We start from the raw sequence: 25,222 nt of genomic DNA, 5'->3' as shown, positions 1-25,222 counted from the left end.
GGATGGCTTGAACTCAGGAGTTCGAGACCAGCCTGGGCAACACAGTAAAATCCTATCTCAACAAAAAATACAAAGATTAGCCAGGGGTGGTTGCACACGCCGGTAGTCCCAGCTACTCGGGAGCCTGAGCTGGGAGGATCACTTGAGCCTGGAAGGTTGAAGCTGAAATGAGTCAAGCTCATGCCCCTGTACTCCACCCTGGGCGACAGAGCAAGATCCTGTTTCCAAATAATAATAATAATAATAAAATTTAAAAATTAGCTGAGTATGGTGGCGCACACCTGTTGTTCCAACTACTTGGGAGTCTGAGGAGGGAAGATCCCTTGAGCCCAGGAGTTCGGGGTTATAGTGACTGTGATCACACCACTGCATTTCAGCCTGGGTGATAAAGTGAGACTGTCTCAATAAAAAAAAATCCCTGACTTGAGCCAAGGTAATGGAGAGGTACAGGTGGAAGTCCTTTCCTCAAGGTCTCTTTTTCACAGCATTTCACTTGACCTCCCCTAAGGCATCACTGTGCTGTTTTGTGTACTTCAATCACTTGTATTTTTAAGTCCCCTGCTAAACTATAAGCTTTCTGAAGACAGGATGCATCTCATAATTCTTAGCTCTAGCCCACTCACTGCCAAACTTAGTGCCTTACCCACAGCGGATAGAGAAGCTATGTCTTTTTTATGTTCTTTGTTAAGAGGGAAGGAGGACAGAGAGGTTTAGACTATTTTAGAGAGAATGGTAAGCAAAAAATGAAAAACTAGGCCAAAGATGACTAGCAAACTCCTCACAAGTGATTACTTTTCTACCTCCTTTGGTATTTCTCATTGTACACAGTATTTTATGATGCTTAATAAATACTGAATGAATGAATACAAGCAAAATGTGAACTAAATTCAGGTCTCCTTCTTCAGGTCCCTGGACATAAGGGAGGCAGGCAGCAGAGTTTATTCTGATGAACACCAAGAAAGGTTATATACACTAGTAAGTCAGGACAGGGAGGACCTAATTAAGAGTCCTTCAGTAATAAGCTATGTAATCACAAGAAATCATTTCAACCCCCTAGGCTTCAGATAATTTGTGAACAAAATATATTCAATAATGCCTCTGCTATCTAGTTCATAAAATAAAAGCATCCATATGAAAGTGTTCCCAAAAGATAAAAACGAAAGTGGTAGTATTAAGTGGTGCTGCCCCCTAGGTCAACAGCAATAAGTGCTATTCAATTCCGCCGGTTTTGGACTAAGGCAGGTAGGTGTTTGAAAGCTAAAAACAGAGAATGCTATCAGGAAGTCTGTGAAACTTGAATCTTACGTATGACCATCTAGCTAAAGTCTGATTCACTTAAATGACTAGGGCATCTACAACTAACAAAAATTCATAAAATCAGAAGGGAGTAATAACTAACGAAACTAAACTTCCCTACTATTCAGAAAGGAATAATAATCAATCTTCCCACTGTTGATACATCCAAAGTGGCCTTTTAAAGCTGCTCAGTCATGGACCGCTAAACATCCCATATCCTCGTGACACATTTCGACACTGGAAAAATAATGTACAGAGGGGACTAACTTGCCTCTAAATCATGGGTTGATAGGAAAGCAACACATACTTTCTCTTCCTGAGGTTCCTTCCTTTACTCTTCAACAACAGCTTCTTCTCTGAGTCCACTAGGGCAGGACAACTCTTAACACCAAGCTCTTACCAATTTCCAAAGCCACAGTCCATCACAGCTTCTAAAAGGGCCATTTCTTCTTGAGCAGTCCAGCTGGGATCAAGGACAGGAAAATCTGAAGTCTAAGGAGAAAAAAGTTTTGCTTAAGAACAGAGATACAAATGGAATCTAGGGGCCAGGCACGGTGGCTCACGCCTATACTCCCAGCACTTTGGAAGGCGGAGGCGGGCGGATCACCTGAGGTCAGGAGTTCGAGACCAGCCTGGCCAATATGGTGAAACTCCATCTCTACTAAAAACACAAAAATGAGCTGGGCATGGTGGCACACGCCTGTAGTCCCAGCTACTCAGGAGGCTGAGGCAGGAGAATCACTTGAACTGCGGAAGCAGAGGTTGCAGTGAGCTGAGATCACACCACCACACTTCAGCCTGGGCGTCACAACAAGACTCTGTCTCAAAAATCAAAAATAGGCCGGGCACAGTGGCTCACGCCTGTAATCCCAGCACTTTGGGAGGTCGAGGAGGGCGGATCACGAGGTCAGGAGATCGAGACCATCCTGGCTAACACAGTGAAACCCCGTCTCTACTAAAAATATAAAAAATTAGCCGGGCCTGGTGGTGAGCGCCTGTAGTCCCAGCTACTTGGGAGGCTGAGGCAAGAGGATGGCATGAACCCAGGAGGCGGAGGCGGAGCTTGCAGTGAGCTGAGATCGCGCCACTGCACTCCAGCCTGGGCGACAGAGCAAGACTCCGTTTCAAAAAAAAAAAAAAAATTAAAAATAAATGGAATCTAGGAACTTCAACTGTAGTAATAGTTTACAGCCGAATGATGAGAGATACCCAGGGTACATTCTTATTAGTTGTCCACCTCTCCCACCCGTTTCCACCATTAGCTAGAAGGGCCTCCATATCACCTATAAATGCCAAGCAATTCATGCAGATATACATATATTTTTAAACTTAACACAGAGGTAGAGATAAATATTTCAGTACGCTCCCATTTAGCTAAGAAAGAGGAAAAGACAAATATGTATGTATTTTTTTAAATGGAAGAATAAAACACACTTTAAAAAAAAAAAGGTTACTATGGGGAGGAAGAAAGAGAACAGGGTAGAGACATCTATCCAGAAGCTAGATGTCTCTGAATATTCCTTGCTTGTAGATTTAACTTTGAAACATAAAGAGTATAATATTAAACTTTAGGCTGGCCTCAGTGGCTCACGCCTGTAATCCCAACACTTTGGGAGGCCAAGGCAGGTGGATCTCTTGAGGTCAGGAGTTCAAGACAAGGCTGGCCAACATGATGAAACCTCGTCTCTACTAAAAATACAAAAATTAGCCGGACATGGTGGCACGCACCTGTAGTCCCAGCTACTCGGGAGGCTGAGGCAGGAGAATCGCTTGAACTGGAAGGTGGAGGCTGCAGTGAGCCGAGATCATAGCACTGAACCCCAGCGTGGGCAACAAGCAAGACTCCGTCTCAAAAAATAAAAATAAAAATAAACTTCAAAATCTTAAGAATAAAATGCAAAATATAACGAACTCAGAAATCAATTTGAAGGCATAATCACACAGAAAGGAACTATTTCAAGTGATTTTGAAACACTTAATTTGACTAAATATCTCTAAGTAGGATATACCTTAAAAACAAAAGAAATTGCCAAATCTTAAAATGTTTCTTTAGTATTGACAGTTATTTTGAGATTAGTGTATGTGTATATGTTATGAGGTAAAGCAAATAAATAATTACGTTGGTTAGTGTCATTGGGAAGTATAATTTTTGGCTTGGGAAAAAAAAAAGATATAGCTGTAAGATCTGTGAGGTTATGTAAAAACCTCGTAGTTGGCCAGGCATGGTGGCTCATGCCTGCAATCCCAGAATTTTGGGAGGCCTGGGTGGGTGGACTTTTTGGGCTCAGGAGTTTTGAGACCAGCCTGGGCAACATAGTGAAACCCCATCTCTACAAAAACTACAAAAATTAGCTGGGAGTGTTGGCATGCACCTGTAGTCCCAGCACTTTGGGAGACCTGGGTGGGTGGATTGCTTGAGCTCAGGAGTTTGAGACCAGCCTGGGCAAGATGGCAAAACCCTGTCTCTACAAAAACTACAAAAATTAGCTGGGCATGGTGGCGCGCACCTGTGGTTCCAGCTACTTGGCAGGCTAAGGCAGGAGGATCGCTTGAACCCGGGAGGTAGAGTCTGCAGTGAGTTGAGATTGCACCACTGCTCTCCCGCCTGGGCAAGAGACTCTGTCTCATAAAAACCAAAAACAGGCCGGGCACAGTGGCTCATGCCTGTAATCCCAGCACTTTGAGAGGCCAAGGCGGGCAGATCACGAGGTCAGGAGATCGAGACCATCTTGGCTAACACGGTGAAACCCCGTCTCTACTAAAAATACAAAAAATTAGCCGGGTGTGGTGGCAGGTGCCTGTAGTCCCAGCTGCTCGGGAGGCTGAGGCAGGAGAATGGCGTGAACCCGGGAGGTGGAGCTTGCGGTGAGCCGAGATGGCGCCACTGCACTCCAGCCTGCGGGACAGAGAGAGACTCCGTTTCAAAAACAAACAAACAAACAAACAGAAAACAAACAAACAAAACTCTTGTAGTCTCGTATTTAAATTGAAAGTTTTATTATGAACTCATGTGTTGTATCTTACAAGAAAAATAATTTCCTAACATCGTTCATTGAAAAGGTCCAGGAAAAATGACCAACCCAGTAGCAATGAGTAGCTGGGATTACAAGCATGTGCCACCACACCTGGCTAATTTTGTATTTTTAGTAGAGACGGGGTTTCTCCATGTTGGTCAGGCTGGTCTCGAACTCCCGACCTCAGGTGATCTGCCCGCCTGGGCCTCCCAAAGTGCTGGGATTATAGGCATGAGCCACCGTGCCTGGCAGCAAAGAAGCTCTTAAAGACTATAAAGGTCATGTCAAAAAAATTCAGAAGTCAACTTCCAGAGACTCCTGTTAACTAAAAATGGAATATTTTGAGCATCAATAAGTATAATAACCACAAAGGACTGAAACATCAAATATTTAAATATGTAGAGGATGCTAGGGAACCAATGCATATTCTCAAAACTAGTAAATAAAGGGAAGTAATCATCTTTTCTGTTTCCTTTCCTGTATAAACGTTACTCCAAGGGACCACACAATAATAAGAAATTTCTAACTCATAAATTAAAATGAGTGATAGAATTAAAAGATTAATGTTTTGCAATCCTTGGTGAATTAGCAGATCCAGACAATGGTCCTAAATGAATCTGAAGTAGTCATTAAATGTAACTACTAATTTATAGGAAACACAGAAGAGAGAGGAACACATTAGTCAACAGAATCCAGACTGTACTAACATCTGTAAGACAAACAATCCAGCTTTTAAAAATCAAACGAATAATAAGAAATGAGAGCGAGGAGCTTCCGGGCTGCTGAACACATGGAGGTAGAGGGCGGTGTACCCAGAGAGGACAGGAAAGCTCCGTACCCCTTCCCACATACACCCTGCCTCATGCATCTCTTGTGGCTGGCTGCTCATTTTTCAACATCACCAGTGTTAAATTATGTATCGTCTGATATGATAAAATGAGAAGGCAATTCACCTCTGTGATCTTCCACCTAAACATCTATAATCCAAATCTAATCATGATAAAATATCAAACCTATGAAGACAAAATTGAGAGACACTGTACAAAATACACTTCGACCTGTCAAGGTCATGAACAAGGAAAATCTAAGAAACTGTCATAGATTGGAGAAAACATTATGACTAAATGCAATGTGGGATCCCCAATTGGATCCTGCAACAGAAAAGGACATTTGTGGAAAATCTGGAGAAATCTGAATAAAATCTATAGTTACTAGTATTGTAGTAATGTTCATTTCTTTTGCCCCCCACTTTTTTTTTTTTTGAGACCAAGTCTTGCTCCATAGCCCAGGCTGGAGTGCAGTGGCATGATCTCGGCTCACCGCAACCTCCACCTCCTGGGTTCAAGCGACTCTCCTGCCTCAGCCTCCAGAACATCTGGAATTACAGGCACACACAACTGTACCTGGCTAATTTTTTGTATTTTTAGTAGAGATAGGGTTTCACCATGTTGGCCAGGCTGGTCTTGAACTCCCGACCTCAAGTAATCCGCCCACCTCGGCCTCCCAAAATGCTGGGATTACAGGCATGAGGAACCGAGCTCAGCCCTTTTTTCTCTTTGAGACGGGGTCTTGTGGGTTGACCAGGCTGGAGTGCACTGGTGTGATCATGGCTCACTGTAGCTTCAAACTCCCGAACTCAAGCAATCCTCCTGCCTCCACCATACAAGTAGCTAAGAATATAAGCATGTGCAACCACACCCACCTAATTTTTAAATTTTTCTGCAGCAATGGGGTCTTTCTAGATTGCCCAGGCTGGTCTCAAACTCCTGGACTCAAACAATTCTCCTACCGCAGCCTCTCAAAGTGCTGGGATTACAGGAAGGAGCCACCGCACCCGGCCAATGTTCATTTCTCAATTTTGACAAATGTACTATAATGTAAGATGTTAACATTTGGGGAAGCAGGATGAAGGATAGATGGGAACTCTCTATACTACATTTGCAACTTCAGTAAACCCAAAAATGGCTGGGCACGGTGGCTCACACCTGTAATCCTAGCACTCTGGGAGGCCAAGGTGGGAGGATCCCTTCAGTCCAGGAGTTTAAGACCACCCTGGACAACATGGCAAAACTCTATTTCTATTTCCCTATATTTTTAAGAAGAAAATTTAAAAAATAATTATTCTAAAATAAGACCAAAAAAAAGAAATGAGAGAAAGGGAAGGAAAACCCATACAGAATAGAAAATACATAAAAGGCAACCAATTGGAAAATTGAAATGTGTGAATCTTATTTGTATCTGAATTAAACAAACTGCAAAAAGTAAAAAAAAAAAAAAAAAAAAAAAAAAATTGTAATACCACAATACCACACTGCACTGACTAAAATAGCTAAAATGAATGAAACTGACAATGCCAAATGTTGGCAAGCACATGAAGCAATCAGAACTCTCATATATTGTCGACAGAGGTGTAAAATGATATAAATGCTTTGGAAAACTTGCCAATCGTTTATTTAAAAGTTAAACAATCATTTACTCTATGACCCAGCAATTTCACTCCTAGGTATTTATCCAAAAAACAGTGAAAACATATGTACATAGAAAGCTTTATATAAGAATACTCATTGCAGCTTTATTCACAATAGCCTAAACGTGGGCAAGGCCCAGGTGTCCATCAAAGGGAGAATGGATAAAAAACTGTATTATGTTCGTACAACAGAATATTACTCAGTAATTAAAAGAAATGATTAGTAGCAAATGTACCAGTAACATACACAACATGAATAAAACTCAAAAGCATGCTGAGTGAGTCCAGGCGCGGTGGCTCACACCTGTAATCCCAGCACTCTGGGAGGCCAAGGCAGGTGGATCACCTGAGGTCAGGGGTTCGAGACCAATCTGGCCAACATGGTGAAACCCCGTCTCTACTAAAAATACAAAATTAGCCAGGCGCGGTGGTGGACGCCTATAATAATCCCAGCTACCTGGGAGGCTGAGGCAGGAGAACTGCTTGAACCCGGGAGGCGGAGGTTGCAGTGAGCCGAGATTGTGCAATTGCACTCCAGCCTGGGCAATAGAGCAAGACTGTCACAAAAAAAAAATAAATAAATAAATAAAAAAGCTGAGTGAAAGAAACCAGAAACAACAGAAGTGTACATACAGTATGATTCCATATATATGCAGTTCTAGAATATGCAAAACCAATCTACGCTGATAAAAAAAAAAATCAGAACAGTGATTGTTTCAAGGGTAAAAAAGGCAGCAGGGTTTTAGATATTAAGCCTTTATGAAATGACGGGGAATGTGAAAAGTGACTAGAATTACGTAGAGACCTAATGAAATACTGAAAGATGAAATGATATACTGTCTAGGATACTTGCTTCAAAATAATCTAGAAAGGTGATGGTTTAGGCTGGGTGCAGTAGCTCACGCTTGTCATCCCAGCACTTTGGGTGGCCGAGGTGGGCAGATCACCTGAGGTCAGGAGTTCAAGACCAGCCTGGACAACATGGTGAAACCCTGTCTCTACAAAAATTAGCCGGGCACGGTGGTGTGTGCCTGTAATCTGAGCTACTCAGGAGGCTGAGGCGGGAGAATCGCTTGGACCCAGGAGTCGGAGGTTGCAGTGAGCCGAAATCAACCCACTGGACTCCAGCCTGGGCGACAGGGCAAGACTCTGTCTCAAAAAAAAAAAAAAGAAAAGATAAAAGAAAAGGTGATGGTTTAGATAAAGTAAGATTGGCCACGAGTCAATAATTTTAAGAGTTAGTGATGGGTAAACGGAAATTTATTACCATTATGTAGTAGTTGGTTACAATGACAACCACATTTTCATCTGAGCACGTACTATGAATATGCCTAGCACATGATGTATTATGAGATCCAAGAGAGAAATTTTGGAGTCTATGCCTATACTAAATTCATAACCCTCTTGGGACTTTCAGCCTAAGTACATCATGTGGAGCCAAGAGCCACCCTCACTGTGCCTAATCTGAATGCCTGACCCACAAAACTGTGGGAGATAATAAAATGGTCATTTTTAAGCATGAGGTTTTGAGGTAGCTGTTACATAGCAATAGATAACCAAACATCATTCTCTCTTGTGTATATCTGAACTTTTCTATAATAACAAGTAAAAAAAAAATAATCTGAAGACCACACAGGAGGTCTTCAGATTACACAGGCACTTAGAACTTGTTATACCTTTTGTTAATGACAAAAAAAAAGTCATGATTTGTGAGATTACACTACCAATAAGCAACACATTTTCATCTGAGCACGTACTACGAATATATCTAGCACATGAGGTATTATGAAATCCAACAGAGAAATTTCAGAGTCTATATCTATACTAAATTCATAATCACTCTCAATTCAGCAAGTACCAAAAGACATGTAAATATGACAACACACACATTAGTTGAAGAGACTGTCATTTGTAAAACTGTATTTTAGAATATTAATTGTTTCTCAACCAACTTTACTGTGAGATAAACAATAAAAACTTTCTACATCACAGACACACCAAAGAAGGCACAAGGCAGTTTTACAAAAAGTTGAATTAATATTATTCAACTCCTGGACCAAACCTCAGCACTTCTGAACCACAATCTCTCACAGAAGAGTCTAGAAATCTACATTTATAAGAAGCTCCCAGGCAGTTCTTATGTACTGAAGTTTAAGAATCACTGGTATAAAAGGGTGTGGCAGAAAGAGCTGCCTTGACTTGTTCAAAGTTCTAAGAATTACAAGACAAAAATAGGCATAGAATTCAGAAATCCTGGTTAACACACCACCTACCACAGCATGAGTAACTCCCAAAAATACAGCTCTGTGACATGACAAAAGTACTGAAAACCATTTAAAGTTATCTGAGGCAAAAAAATCAAGTTTTGTGTAGAAAGCTAAAATTTGGTCATCATGCCTATAGAAGGAAAGATTCACTGGGAATAAATAAGATGGGCCACAAAAAGGAAGTATTAGTAACCCCCAAAAGCTCCCCAAAGTAAAGGACAGTACTCTGAAATGTGATTGTATGGGTGTTGAATACGTGAGAAAAGGATGATGTAATCAGAATGAAGTGATGTGGAGTGAAACTTAGTCAGTGCTTTCAGCATTATGAAGAAGACATGATGCCAGAATAGCTAAAGAAAGCTCATGGTCAGCTTTCCTACAGTGAATAAGCATGACTACCAACCTACCCAAGCTATACTGAATTATCCCTTAAGGAGTTATTTCACAATGTGAATGAATAAATTTGTATTCTGGCTCTAGGTATTCTCGCATTAATTTGGGAAAAATAAACCAGCTTTCTGAAGACCTGATAACCTTGGTGAAATTAACTCAAATCCACAGCTACTTTGAACAGTCTCCTAACCCTTCATTTTTGCATTTAAAGGGGGAAAAAATTTATTCCAAGTCTTACAATTACTGAAGCCATTAAAAGACTGAAATTGTTTAGAGATGGATAGAGGAAGGCTAGTTAGTTGGCTCCCAAGAACTCTAACTGGTTCTTTGATTAATTCATTGTGGCCTAGAATCTGACCCTGAATATTATAAGCCCAGAAACTCATTTTAATAGGACTCCACCAATAGTCAGGCTCAGAGATGCTGATTCACCCTTTCTAAACTTTTAAGAGACTGAAGTAAATATACTGCAGTGCTGTAGGAGGCCCAATTCTAAAGATGTTCTCTGGCTGGGCATGGTGGCTCATGTCTATAATTCCAGCACTTTGGGAGGCCTAGGTGGAAGGATAACTTGAACCCCTGAGTTCGAGACCTGCCTGGGCAACATGGAGAAACCCTGTCTCTATTTTTTTTTTCAATAAATAAATAAAATAAAAATAAAGATGTTCCCCTCATCCTAAGATTCCTGTCTTCTGACTAGTCCATCAAACACTAGCGAGGTACTGCTGGGAAAGGACTTTACAGATGGAATAAAGGTTACTAATCAGCTGACCTTAAAGTAGAGAGACTATCCTGGATTACCCTGATAGGCCCAATGTAATCCACATGAGTCCTTATACATAGTTGAGGTGCCTGCTGTGGTGGCTCACACCTGTAATCCCAGCACTTTAGGAGGTTGAGGGTTGAGGTGGGAGGATCACTTGAGCCCAGGAGTTTGAGACCAGCCTGAATAACACAGAAAGACCCCTAGACGCCTGAATAACATAGAAAGGCCCCTAGACCCCTGTCTACAAAATTTTTCTTTTTCTTTTTTTTTTTTTTTTGAGACGGAGTCTCACTCTGTTGCCCAGGCTGGAGTGCAGTGGCACAATCTTGGCTCAATACAAGCTCTGCCTCCCGGGTTCACATCATTCTCCCGCCTCAACCTCCCGAGTAGCTGGGACTACAGGCGCCCACCACCACACCTGGCTAATTTTTTGTGTTTTTAGTAGAGATGGGGTTTCACCATGTTAGCCAGGATGGTCTCGATCTCCTGACCTTGTGATCCACCCGCCTCGGCCTCCCAAAGTGCTGGGATTACAGGCATGAGCCACCAAGCCTGGCCTACAAAAAAAATTTTTAAATTAGCCAGGCATGGTGGCTTGTGCCTATAGTCCCAGCTAGTCAGGTGGCTGAGATAGGATAGCTTAAGCCTGGGAGGTCGAGGTTACAGTGAGCTGTGATTGTGCCACTGCTCTTTAGCCTGGGTGATAGAGTGAGACCCTGTCTCAAAGTAGAAGAGGAAAGCAGAAGAATCACTCATAAAGATTCAGCACAGGAAAGATAAGGCAATAGGAGAGGTCATAGAGATTCCCTGGATTTCATCAACAACCTCAAGGACTTCCTGTGCTCCTGGCTTTGAGGATGGAGAAAGGGGGCCCAGAGCCAGGGAATGCAGACAGCCTGTGGAAACGGAGAACATGCCCTGATCAAAACAGTGGCATCCTTCCTAAAACCTTAAGGCAGTGAATTCTGCCAACAACCTGAAAGAACCTAGAAGTGGATTCTACCCCAGGGCCTCCAGGTGAGAGCCCAGGCTGGCCAACATCTTCATTTCAGCCTTATGGAACCTGGAGCAAACCAGCTGAGCCTAATGATCTTCTGATCCACAGAACTGTGAGACAAATTTGTGTTGTCTTAAGATATCTAATTTTTGGTAATTTGTTGCAGCATCGATAGAAAATATAGATTAATCTACTATGTGAAATTTTAACTGTCAAGCCTGCCAGGATCCTTTCCTGTAAGAACAACTGCATGGGGGCCAAATGTCAGAAAACTGCTTGAAGTAGGAGATTTAGTTATATGCTTAATATGTTCTGATAACTGACAAAACTGTCTTTTTTTTTTTGAGATGGAGTCTCACTCTGTCGCCCAGGCTGGAGTGCAGTGGTGCGATCTTGGCTCACTGCAACCTCTGCCTCCTGGGTTCAAGCGATTCTCCTGCCTCAGACGCCCAAGTAGCTGAGACTACAGGTGCACATCACCACACTCAGCTAATTTTTGTATTCTTAATAGAGACAGGGTTTCACCTTATATTGGCTAGGCTGGTCTTGAACTCCTGACCTCAAGTGATCTGCCCAACCTGGCCTCTGGAAGTGCTAGGATTACAGGCGTGAGTTACTGTGCCTGGCCAACAAAACTATCTTGACAAAGGTATATATACCCGTCAAGCAGACTGGATATTCACTTTGGCTTATTAAACCACCCACTCCCATGGCCAGGGCTTGGAAGGACACTACGAACACTCTTATTCCTTCTTTAAGTGTGGCATTACAATTAAGCTATAGCCAAGTTTTATTCAAGCTTATAAACCAGTCTGCCTCTTCAGTGATTTTATGTATTAATTCATTTGCTGTGTTCACTTTATAACCTGACTCTCAGAAGGTAACTAATTTCCCCAAGGCAAGGGAATGAACTGCTCAACAAAAACACCACTGTCCACATGAACCACATAAAAATACCATGAGCACACAGTGACAACACATTGGCTATGTTTATCAATGAGTTTAAAAAGCAGCATACCTGTTATCCTCATATCAAAAGTATTTCCTTTGAATAATTTCCAAATTTCAAACAAAAATCTGAGTATATAAAACTATTTTTGTGCTTAAATACCTTGATAGATCCACAAAACCCTAAAAAACTTATTGGATAACAATTACCTATTTCCGAAGGGGAGAAAAGGTAAAGATACTCAGAGATTAAGAAAACTAATTCCCTGAAGTCCAAGAGAGCTTAAAGAAAAATGGAAAAGAAAAACTACTTCCCAGTCTAATTCTTAAAAAAAGTGAACAGAAATTCCCAGCAACTTCATCATTACCATTATTTCATAAGTATGATCGCTTTGATGTTTCTTGTACTCAAAGCCTCGAGTGAAACACTGCAAAGAAAGAAAAATTAAATTAGCAAAAGCTACTTTCTTAAAGGACAGAGGAGGTTTGTGTTATTCTTCTGACAAGTTTGGGTTTTTAAAATTTTATTTTTGGAGACAGGGTCTCGTTCTGTCACCCAGGCCGAAGTGCAGTGGCACCATCATAGCTCACTGCAGCCTTGAACTCCTAGGCTCAAGGGATCCTTGTACCTCAGTCTCCCAAAGTGCTAAGATTACAGGTGTGGGCCACCACACCACTTCTTGACAAGTTTTTTTTTTTTTTTTTTTTTTTTCTGAGACGGAGTCTTGCTCTTTCACCCAGGCTAGAGTGGCGCCATCTCAGCTCACTGCAACCTCTGCCTCCCAGGTTCAAGTTGATTCTCCTGCTTCAGCCTCTCGAGTAGCTGGGATTACAGGCAGCCGGCACAACACTCAGCTAATTTTCGTATTTTTAGCAGAGACGGGATTTCACCACCTTGGCCAGGCTGGCCTCGAACTCCTGATCTTGTGATTCACCTTTCTTGGCCTCCCAAAGTGCTGGGATTACAGGCGTGAGCCACCGAGCCCGGACAACAATTTTTTAAGGATTCATTTAATCTTGTCTGCAGCTGCAATAGAATGGTGGAATCATGATCACAGCTTTTCAGTGGCCCTCATGGAGAAAAAACAAGTCTGAAAAAAATACTTTTTTCTAAGACAACTCTTTGAGGAGAGCATATGCCCTGGAATCACAATCATATAGCCTAAATTTGAATCCTGGCTCTGAAACCGTATTTCAGCCATTCTAAGATAAATATTGTTTCATATTTTAAACTCTGGGCTGGGCATTGTGGCTTGTGCCCATAGACCTAGTTACTCAGGGCAGGCTGAGGGAGGAGGATCATTGAGCCCAGGAGGTCGAGGCTGCAGTGAGCTATGATTATACCACTGCACTCCAGGCTGAACAGCAGAGCAAGACCCCATCTCTAAAAAAAATTCTTTATTTTTTTTTAAAGAAAAATAAAAAGTCCCTGAAGTAGGCCTGGAGTAATCCTAGCATTCTGGGAGGCTGAGGTGATAGGATTGCTTGAGCTCAAGAGTTCCAGACCAGCCTGAGCAACAAGGCGAGACCCTTTCTCCACAGAAAAAAAAAAAAAAAAAAAATTAGCTGGACATGGTGGCACAAGCATGTAGTCCCAGATACTTGGGAAGCTGAGGTAGAAGGATCACTTAAGCCTGGAAGATAGAGGTGGCATTGAGCCATGATCATGCCACTGCACTCCAGCCTAGAGGACACAGTGAAACCCTGTCTCAAAAAAATAAAAAAACTCTCTGAAATCAAGATTCATCTTATAATCGAAAGTACATCACAACTTTCATCAGCCAGTTTTACATTTTAACATTTCTGAAATTGAGGTGCTTCTTATAATCAATGGTGTCTTAGATCTGATAAAATATGGTATTTGCTGTGTGACCCTGAACAAGTTACTTAACCTCTCTTAGCCTAAATTTCTTCATCTATAAAATGGGGATACTAATCATAGGTACTTCATAGGATTACAGTGATGATTTAAGGGTTAATTCATGTAAAGTACTCAAAGTGGTGCCTGGGACAGAGCAAGTACTTATAATTAGTATTATTATTACCATTATCACCCACAAAAATTGTTTCTTCCCTTGTCATCTGTACAGAGATCAGTCTTCAACAAGACAATAAACAGTGTCATCAAAAGGAATAATCTTCCAGTTATGTTTCCTGTAATTTCAATACTTTAAATTAACTTAAAAAAACAGTGTTATGGCCGGGCGTGGTAGCTCACGCCTGTAATCCCAGCACTTTGGGGGCTGAGGCAGGAGGATCACTTGAGGTCAGGAGTTTGAGACCAGCATGGCCAACATGAGAAAACCCCATCTCTACCAAAAATATAAAAAATTAGCTGGGAATGGTGGCATGCACCTGTAACCACAGCTACTCGGGAGGTTGAAGCAGGAGAATCCCTTGAAGCAGGAGAATCCCTTGAACCCGAGAGGCACAGCTTGCAGTGAACCGAGATCACGCCACTGCACTCCAGCCTGGGTGATAGAGCAAGACTCTGTCGTGGAAAAGAAAAAAAAGAAAAAATAGCTGGGCACGGTGGCTCACGCCCTGTAATCCCAGCACTTTGGGAGACCGAGGCAGGCAGATCACCTGAGGTCTGGAGTTCAAGACCAGCCTGACCAACGTGGAGAAACCCTGTCTATACTAAAAATACAAAATTAGCCGGGTGTGGTGGCGCATGCCTGTAATCCCAGCTACTCAGGAGGCTGAGGCAGGAGAATCGCTTGAACCCGGGAGGCAGAGGTTGCGGTGAGCCAAGATCACACCATTGCACTCCAGCCTGGAAAACAATAGCGAAACTCCCGTCTCAACAAAACAACAACAACAAAAAAAACAGTGTTAACTATTAGGGTTTTGTTTGTTTTTTGATACAGAGTCTTGCTCTGTCGCCCAGGCTGGAGTGCAATCTGCGAGGCAAGAGAATCACTTGAACCCGGGAGGCAGAGGTTGCAGGGAGCCAAGATTGTGCCACTACACTCCAGCCTGGTGACACAGCGAGACTTCGTCTCAAAAAAAAAAAAAAGATTCTCCTGCCTCAGCCTCCCAAGTAGCTGGGATTACAGGCACCCGCCATCATGCCCAGCTAATTTTTTTTTATTTTTGTGGAGATGGGATTTCACCATGTTGAACCATGTTGACCGGGCTGGTCTTGAACTCTTGACCTCAGGGGATCCACCTGCCTCAGCCTCCAAAAGTGCTAGGACTACAGGCATGAGCCACTGTGCCCGGCCAAGTATTAGGTTTAAACACAGATGTGGACTAATCAACAGTCTGTCTCATCTAACTGCTCTGTTTCTCAACTTTTCACTGGTAAAACGTATAATGAAAAATTGGGGCCGGGTGCGGTGGCTCACGCCTGTAATCCCAGAACTTTGGGAGGCTGAGGCAGATGGATCATGAGGTTAGGAATTCAAAACCACCCTGACCAACATGGTGAAACCCCGTCTCTACTAAAAATACAAAAATCAGCTGGGCATAATGGTGTGTGCCTGTAATCTCAGCTACTCAGGAGGCTGAGGCAGGAGAATCGCTTGAACCTAAGAGGTGGAGATTGCAGTTAGCAGAGATGACACCACTGTACTCCAGCCTGGGCGACTGAGTGAGACTCCATCTCAAAAAAAAAAAAAAAGAAAGAAAAAGAAAAATTGGAAGGAATAGATTTAATAAGACATAGATCTCCTTAGCAGTTGACAGTAATCTCCGAAATATTACATCATAAAAAATAGCATAAAACTAGGCTAGGAGAAGCCAGCATTAGTGAGTTACCTGCAAGCAGAGGAAAAAAGGAGGTGGCCCACATTCAGCACACTTGATATAAGGCTCCATGAGGTAGGAGGAGCAGCCTCGGCAAGGTGGCTTATCAGAGGGATCATCTAGAACAAACAGAAAACAAATGCACATTTCAGACCACCTTACGGTTATCTTAAGTGCAAAAAGGTGAAAATCCCCAAATGACCACACAAGTAGTGAGCTAAGCTGAAAAGTTCATGGAGACAAGATGAGCTCATTACAAATAAAAAAAAGCAAAAATTATGATCCTTTTAACTTCAGGGCAGCATTGTTCCCTTTCACACAGCATTTACGTAGATATGAACCCTGCAGAGAAATTTACAAGCATATGTTTGTTTGTTGATTTATTTATATATTTTTAGAGACAGGGTCTTGCTCTGCCACCCAGGCTGGAGTGCAGTGGCTTGACAATAGCTCACTGTAACCTGAAACTCCTGGGCTTAAGCAATCCTCCTGCCTCAGCCTCCCAAGTAGTTAGGACTACAGGCACATGCCACCACACCTGGTTAATTTTTTGTAGAGACGATGTCTCACCATGTTGCCCAGGCTGGTCTTGAACTTTTAGGTTCAAAGAATGTTCCTGCCTTGGCCTCTCAAAGCTCTGGAATTACAGGTATGAGCTACCATGCCCAGTCACAAACACATTTTTAACTGGAAGTTTCATAATATCCCAAACTTATTTTTCCAGGAGCATAAAATGGACACATACCTGCACATACAATATAAAGAAAATCTGACAAAATGTTAACAATTGCTGAATCTAGGTAGCAAGCATATAAATAATCACTGTAGGCCGGCCACATTAGCTTACCCTGTAATTCCAGCACTTTGGGAGGCCAAGGTGGGTGCATTACCTGAGGCCAGAAGTTTGAGACCAGCCTTGCCAACCTGGCGAAACCCTGTCTCTACTAAAAATACAAACAGCCAGGGATGGGGGCGCAGCCTATAATCCCAGCTACTTGGGAAGTTGAGGCACAGAATCACTTGAACCCGGAAGGCAAAGGTTGCCGTGAGCCAAGATTGTGCCACTGCACTCCAGCCTGGGCGACAGAGCTAGACCCTGCCTCAAATAATAATAATAATAATAATAATAATAATAATAATAATAATCAGCTGGGCATGGTGGCTCACGCCTGTAATCCCAGCACTTTGGGAGGCTGAGGCAGGCAGATTGCCTGCTCTTAGGAGTTTGAGACCAGCCTGGGCAACACAGTGAAACCCTGTCTCTACTAAAACTACAAAAAAATTGGCTGGGCACGGTGGCTCATGCCTGTAATCCCAGCACTTTGGGGGGCCGAGGCGGGTGGATCATGAGGTGAGGAGTTCAAGACCAGCCTGGCCAAGATGGTGAAACCCCATCTCTACTAAAAACACAAAAATTAGCCAGGTGTGGTGGTGCACACCTGTAATCCCAGCTACTCAGGAGGCTGAGGCAGAGGAATCACTTGAACCCAGAAGGCACAGGTTGCAGTGAGCCGAGATCGCGCCGCTGCACTCCAGCCTGGGCGACAGAGTCTTACTCTGTCTCAAAAAAAAAACAAAAAAATTAGCCAAGCATGGCGGTATGCATCTGTAGTCCCAGCTACACAGGAGGCTGAGGCAGAAGAACTGCTTGAACCCGGGAGGCGGAGGTTGCAGTGATCCGAGATCACGCCACTGCACTCCAGTCTGGGCAACAGAGAGAGACTCCGTCTCCAAAAAAAAATAAAAAAATAAAAAAACACATCATCATCATTGTACTGTTCTTTTGACTTTTCTATAAAAAGTTGGGGCAAATAAGAGAAAACTCCTTTTTTTTTTGAGATAGGGTCTCACTCTGTCACCTAGGCTGAAGTGTGGTTGCACGATCATGCCTCAATGCAGCCTCAACCTCCCAGGCTCAAATGAGCCTCCCACCTCAGCCTCCTAACTAGCAGGGACTACAGGCACAAGCCACCACACCCGGGTACTTTTTTAAAATTTATTTTCTGTAGAGACAAGAGTTTCACTATGTTGCCTAGGCTGGTCTTGAATTCCTGGGCTCAAACGGTTCCAGGAATTTGAGCTGCCTCAGCTTCCTAAAGTGTTGGGATTACAGGTATGAGCCATCACACTCAGCTAGCCTCTAAATACATGTCTCTTCTAAATACATATTTTGGAATATACTATTTTATATTTGAGTTCGGATTTTTCTTTTTTTTCTTGAGACAGGGTCTTCTTGAGACAGAGTCTTCTTGAGACAGGGTCTTAGACTGTTGCCCAGGCTGGAGTGCAGTGGTGAGATCATGGCTCACTGTGGCTTCAATCTCCCCAGGCTCAGGTGTTCCTCCCACCTCAGCCTCCCAAGAGGAGGGACAGACTTGCACCACTGCGCCTGGCTAAATTTTTACTTTTTGTAGAGACAGGGTCTCACTGTGTTGCCCACACTGGTCTTAAGAAGTCCTCCTGCCTCAGCTTCCCAAAGTGGTGGAATTATAGGCATGAGCCACCACACCTGGCTCTGAGTGGGAATTGAAACCCAGGAAGCTTCCTCCCTTTCTCCCATGGTAAGTACATAACACAGCAGATCTTCTACTCCAATGACAGTGGTATGTCTCCAAACTATGAAGACAAGGAGTACAATCCAAACTCTCAAAACTCATAAAAATGCAGATATATGTGTCCCTGGTTGCCCCAAATTCGGCCTCTGGAGTCACGGCAACCTAGCAAAATTGTTCTCTATGATCAATCACAAGAATCTAAGAGAAGAAAAGCTTTGAAGGTAGATGAAGGAATTTAATTTGTTCAGCCTGGAACAGGATTTCTCACATTCTGTAACAGTATTTGCCTCCCTAAAGTCCAAGAAATGTTCTTCAAGGTACCTTTCCCTCTTCCAAGTGAAGATCACTGTTCTCTTTATTTGTTTTTAAGAAGATAGAGAGAGTAGGCACGGTGGCTCAAACCTATAATCCCAGCACTTTGGGAGGCTGAGGCGGGTTGATCACTTGAGCTCAGGAGTTCAAGACTAACCTGACCAGCATGGCGAAACCCCATCTCCACTAAAAATACAAAAATTAGCCAGGTGTGGTGGTGGGCACCTGTAATCTCAGCTACTCAGGAGGCTGAGGCAGGAGAATTGTTTGAACCCGGGAGGCAGAGGTTGCAGTAAGCTGAGATCGTGCCATTGCACTCCAGCCTGGGTGACAAGAGCGAAACTCCATCTCAAAAAAAAAAAAAAAGACACAGAAGAAAATGATGAAAGAAAAAAATGTACTCCTGGCAGTAGCTTCAAATTCAATATATGAAACTGCGCAGCTACTCCATTTCCCCCATTTTAAATTTTAATGCAGAAGAACAAATCTTGCTATGTTGCTCAGGCTGGTCTCAAACTTCCAGCCTCAAGTGATCCTTCTGCCCCAGCCTCCCAAAGTACTGTGATTACAGGAGTGAGCCACTGCGCTGAGCCAAAAATTATTGTATATTAAGTGACAGGTGCCAACTTCTACCAAGTTACCCTCTTCCTCACTTCCTGTTAGATATAAGCTTGCTTCTCTCTTTCCTCCAACTATCCTATTTTTAAAAAAGGCATCAGCCACTGAGCAAAGTAGTTTTTTTTTTTGAGACGGAGTCTTGCTCTGTCGCCCAGGCTGAAGTGCAGTGGCGCGATCTCAGCTCACTGCAAGCTCCACCTCCTGGATTCAGGCGATTCTTCTCCCTCAGCCTCCCGAGTAGCTGGGACTACAAGTGCACACCACCACGACTGGCTAATTTTTTATATTTTTAGTAGAGACAGGGTTTCACCATATTGGCCAGGCTGGTCTCGAACTCCTGAAAAGTGGTCTTTTTTTTTTTTTTGAGACAGTGTCTCACTCTGGTTACCCAGGCTGCAGTGCAATGGCTTGATCTCAGCTCACTGAAACCTCTGCCTCCCACGTTCAAGCAATTCTCATGCCTCAGCCTCCCAAGTAGCTGGGATTACATGTATGTGCACTACACCCAGCTAAATTTTGTACTTTTAGTAGAGGGGGGGTTTTCCCATGTTGCCCAGGCTGGTCTTGAACTCCTGGATTCAAGCAATCTACCTGGCGTAGCCTCCCAAAGTGCTAGGATTGCAGGCCCAAAGTGATTTTTTAAATCCTTATGTCAAGAAGCAATTACTGCACGGGCCACGGTGGCTCATGCACGTAATTCCAGCACTCTGGGAGACCAAGGTGGGTGGATCACTTGAGCTCAGGAGTTCGAGACCAGCCTGGGGAACATGGTGAAACCATGTCTCTACAAAAAAAAACCCCACAAAATTAGGCAGGTGCAGTGGTGCATGCTTGGTGGTCCCAGCTATACGGAGGCCTGAAGTAGGAGGATCACTTGAGCTGAGATCGAGTCTGCAGTAAGCCTTGAGCATGCCACTGCACTCCAGCCTGGGTAAGAAAGCAAGACCCTCTCTCAAAAAGAAAAAAAAAAGCAATTACTTTGTAAAAGTAAGTTCTTAACATTCCAGACTAAAATAAAACTGTAAAGTATGTCATCCACAATTAGCATTTTGAAAAATATTTTTCCAACCTTTCTTCTATATAATATAGTACATATATTCAACAAAAGTAGAGGCTGGGCTCTGTGGGTCATGCCTGTAACCCCAGCACTTTGGGAGGAAAAGGCAGGATGATCGCTTCAGCTTAGGAAGTCAAGACCACCCTGGGCAATACTGCAAGACCCTGCTTCTACCAAAAATAATAAAAAGAAAAAATAGCCAGGCACGGTGGCTCATACCTGTAATCCCAGCACTTTGGGAGGCTGAGCCGGGTGGCTCACTAGAGGTTAGGGGTTTAAGACCAGACTGGCCAACATGGTGAAACCCCACCTCTACTAAAAATAAAAAATTAGCTGGATGTGGTGGTGGGCGCCTAATCCCAGCTACTCAGGAGGCTGAGGCAGGAGAATCACTTGAACGCAGGAGGGGGAGGTTGCAGTGAGCCGAGATCACGCCACTGCACTCCAGCCTGGGTGACAACAGCGAAACTCCGTCTCAAAAAAAAAAAAGAAAAAGAAAAAGTGGAATATCATACATGTTTTTTCACTTGACAACAAATTGCGGACATGTTTTCATGACAATACACATTGACCTTCCTTGTTCTTTCTAATGGATAAATAACATTCCATTGTATTAATTATATTATATAACCTAATTGTACTCAACTCCCCCCTAGGGAGCCATTTGGAAATCTGAGGAGGTACCTTTTTGTTGCCACAATGACCAGTGCCCCACTGGCATTCTGCAGGCCCCTAAAACAGGGATTCTAGGTATCCTACAATGCTCAATACATTCTAATAAAAATTGACTTTTTTGTGTGTCCTGTGCAACTTTCAAATGTCCCACCAGACATTCAAGTGAATGAAAAATCTCATATGACCTAGAAGCTAATTCCATGTTATATATAAAGCAAAGTATTTTTGAGAATTTTAATATGCACTGAAATTTCCAGACAGGCAATTGTATATAAGTCTAGAGGAGAATGTATTTTGTTTTGTTCAGAACGTTTAGTTATTCTAGCTTGTGGTGTTTCTTAGTCACCAACATGACACGCTTGAATCATTCTGCATTTGTATATGCACAGTGATTCAACATATGGGTTCAAGTATCTAGTACTTAAATCATGTCTTCTATTGTAATTATGTCTAAACATATTGAAATACATATTGCTTTATTATAAATTGCATTGTTTTACCATAGATTACTTCTCTTGTATTTATCTCTTTTATTATAGTTAGAGCATTATTATTTTTAATTTTTGAAATTATGTATGCCAGGCATGGTGGCTCATGCCTGTAATCCCAGCACTTTGGGAGGCCAAGACAGGTGGACCACTTGAGGCCAGAAGTTCAAGACCAGCCTGGTCAAGATGGCGAAACCCCACCTCCAATAAAAATACAAAAATTGTCTGGGCCTGGTGACGCACACCTGTAGTCCTAGCTACTCGGGAGGCTGTGGCATGAGAATCACTTGAACCTAGGAGGCAGAGATGGCAGTGAGCTGAGATCATGCCACTGCACTCTAGCATGGGCAACAGAGCGAGACTATGTCTCAAGAAAAAAAAAGAAATCACATATGTAGACATATTGTCTTATGTATTTTATTTCCAAATAGTAAACTTGGCTGATTGCAAACTCTCCCTCCCAGACTCAGTGATCCTCCCACCTCAGCCTCCCTAGTATCTGGGACTACAGGTGCATGCCACCATGCCCAGCTAATTTTTTTTTTTTGAGACGGAGTCTTGCTCTGTTGCCCAGGCTGTAGTGCAGTGGCGCGATCTCAGCTCACTGCAACCTCTGCCTCCCGGGTTCAAGCGACTCTCCTGCCTCAGCCTCCCAAGTAGCTGGAATTACGCCCACCAACACACCCAGCTAATTTTTGTATTTTCAGTAGAGGCGGGGTTTCACCATGTTGGCCAGGCTGGTCTCGAACTCCTGACCTCAGGTGATCCGTCTGCCTCAGCCTCCCAGAGTGCTGGGATTACAGTCGTGAGCCATTGTGCCCGGTCTTTTGTATGTACATTTCACATCTGTTCCTCAGGATATATATTTTCCTAGAACTAAAATTGTTGAGTGTACAGTTATTGAGCATTTTTAGGTTTTTGATACACAGAGCCCAACTGTCCTTCAAAAGGTATTTCAAAATTTTTTAAAATCTAAGAGAAAGACTTTTTATCTAATTTTTCACTGAGATAACAGGAAACAAGAGAGAGGCTTTTTTTTTTTTGAGGCGGACTCTCGTTCTGTTGCCAGGCTGGCAGGCTGGAAGGCTGGAGTGTAGTGGTGCGATCTTGGCTCACTGCAACTTCTGCCTCCCAGGTTCAAGTGATTCTCCTGCCTCAGCCTCTCAAGTAGTTGGGACTATAGGTGTGTGCCACCATGCCCAGCTAATTTTTGTATTTTCAGTAGAGATGGCGTTTCACCATGTTGGCCATGATGGTCTCAATCTCTTGACCTCGTGATCTGCCTGCCTCGGCCTCCCAAAGTGCTGGGATTACAGGCGTGAGCCACCATGTGTGGCCGAGTGAGGCTTTTTAACCATCATTCAAATTCAATAAAGGGTTAATAAACTTGACTACATTAATAAAAAGAAAACAAAAAACTTTTTTTGGCAAAAACACCATAAGGAAAGTAAAAAAGCAAGTATACTTTAAGAAAATATTTGTAAACATATCAGAAAAAAAGCACTGAAATCCCTAGTATGCAAACAACTTTAAAAAATTGAGAGGGAGGCCGAGGCAGGCAGATCACCTGAGGTTGGGAGTTCGAGACCAGCCTGGCCAACACGAAGGAAAGCCCATCTCTACTAAAAATACAAAAATTAGCTGGGCATGGCAGCATGTGCCTGTAATCCCAGCTACTTGGGAGGCTGAGGCAGGAGAATCGCTTGAACCCGGGAGACAGAGGTTACGGTGAGCCGAGATCGCACCATTGCACTCCAGCCTGGGTGACAAGAGTGAAACTCCGTTTAAAAAAAAAAAAAAAATTGAGAGGGAGAATAAAAGACCAAAGATCCTGCTGCGAAAGACACAAAGACAATTTGGGGAAAAAAAAGAGACATAAAATGGCCTTAAACATATGAAAAAATGTTCAGCTTCACTCATAAGCAAGATAAAATTTAAAACTACCCTGACATATAGTTTCTCACCCATCAGATTGGCAAAAGTTTCAATGCCTGACAATATAATTAGTCAGGCTGTGGGAATATAGACACTTTTTTTTTTTTTTTTTTGAGAAGGAGTTTCACTCTTGTCGCCCAGGCTGGAGTGCAGTGGCACAATCTTGGCTCACTGCAACCTCTGCATCCCAGGTTCAAGCGATTCTCCTGCCTCAGCCTCCTGAGTAGCTGGGATTACAGGCACGTACCACCAAGCCCAGCTAATTTTTTGTATCTTTAGTAGAGGCTTCACCATGGTGGTCAGGCTGGTCTCGAACACCTGACCTCATGATCCACCCACCTCGGCCTCCCAAAGTTCTGGGATTACATGCCTGAGCCACCGCGCCCAGCCGGGGCACTCTTACGTATCACTGGTGGGAATACAAAATAGTACAACTCATATAGAGGGGCATTATCTTTTGACCCAGCAATCTCACTTCCAGGAATTTTTTACCATGAATATACATTTCCAATAATACAAAAATACACACATCCAAGGTTATATATAATATTAGATGTAATTGCAAAATACTACTTAGATGTCCAAGTATAAGCAATTATTTGAATAATAACATATCCACACAATGAAGTATTATGCAACTATAAAAAACAGAATGAGGACAACCTCTACCAACTAATACAGTATTTCCAGGAGATACTATTAAGTGAGGGGAAAAAAGTACAATCCTGGTGCTGATTGAAGAATTTTTTTAAAAGTACAAAAGAACACATATATATAGTATGCTATCTTTCCTATAAGAAATTAGAGGCCAGGCACGGTGGCTTGTGCCTGTAATCCCAGTACTTTGGGAGGCCAAGGCGGGTGGATCACCTGAGATCAGGAGTTCAAGACCAGCCTGGCCAACATGGTGAAATCCCGTATACAAAAATTAGCCAGGTGTGGTGGCAGACACCTGTAATTCCAGCTACTCAGGAGGCTGAGGCAGGACAATCACCTGAATCCAGGAGGTGGAGACTGCAGTAAGCTGAGATCGTGGCACTGCACTCTAGCCTGAGTGACAAGAGCGAAGCTCTGTCTCAAAAAAAAAAAAAGAGAAAAGAAAAAGAAAAAAATTAGAGTAAAAAACAGTCCTCTTTTCTTTGCAAAAAGGATTAAGGGACAGATTAAACCAGAAAACAATGAAGTTGGTAAGTACAAGGGGTTGAGGGCAGGGGATAGTGGAATTATATTGATGTTGGGAGCCAGGGTTCTCACTGAGTAGAGACATGTGAATGAGGAATTAATGCAGACAAGAAAAAAGCCCATGATGATGAATTAGAGGTATCAATGTGAACTCATGATTTCCTCAAAAGAAGTATATGTGTACGTAAATGTGCATGTGTGTATGTATACTGGCATATATGTATATAGCACATAACATGCATATATTTCCTAGTTCTGTCAGCCAAAAGGGCCAAGATGCAAAAATATTCTAGTAGATGAAAAGATCTCGGTCTCTGATATGACTCCCTTGTAAAAGTACCAGGACTCCTCAGAGAAGTGGCTGATTCCAGGGCGGGGGGAGTACAGGATGCACTTGGAGTATTTAGTTATGCCAAAAAGGACGGAGATGCTAAAAAGAAAAAAAAAATGATGAGAGTACGCTATAAGGATGTAGGAGCCCATTTGAAGGGACTCCCAGTGG

The 25,222-nt window shown here is 42.9% G+C and overlaps 1 protein-coding gene across 13 annotated transcripts in view; it reads right to left on the bottom strand.

Moving 5' to 3' along the window:
* TADA2A (transcriptional adaptor 2A) overlaps window positions 1-25,222 on the bottom strand; it is a 72,840-nt gene that overhangs the window by 40,200 nt on the left and 7,418 nt on the right. For 7 of the 13 annotated variants that reach the window (NM_001166105.3, XM_017024982.1, NM_001291918.2 and 4 more), the window contains exons 3-5: window positions 15,911-16,017; window positions 12,517-12,576; window positions 1,697-1,788 (exon numbers count right to left, since the gene is read on the bottom strand). In NM_001166105.3, coding sequence (NP_001159577.2) covers window positions 1,697-1,788; window positions 12,517-12,576; window positions 15,911-16,017 — 259 coding nt within the window. Of the gene's footprint in view, window positions 1-1,567; window positions 1,789-12,516; window positions 12,577-15,910; window positions 16,018-25,222 lie in introns of those variants that run through there. The other 6 variants (XM_017024981.2, XM_047436610.1, XM_011525154.3 and 3 more) reach the window with 5 other exon arrangements.

Source organism: Homo sapiens, chromosome 17, assembly GCF_000001405.40.
Source record: "Homo sapiens chromosome 17, GRCh38.p14 Primary Assembly".
NCBI lineage: Eukaryota > Metazoa > Chordata > Mammalia > Primates > Hominidae > Homo > Homo sapiens.
Note: the sequence above shows the minus strand (reverse complement) of the source record. Positions and strands in the feature narration are given on the sequence as shown.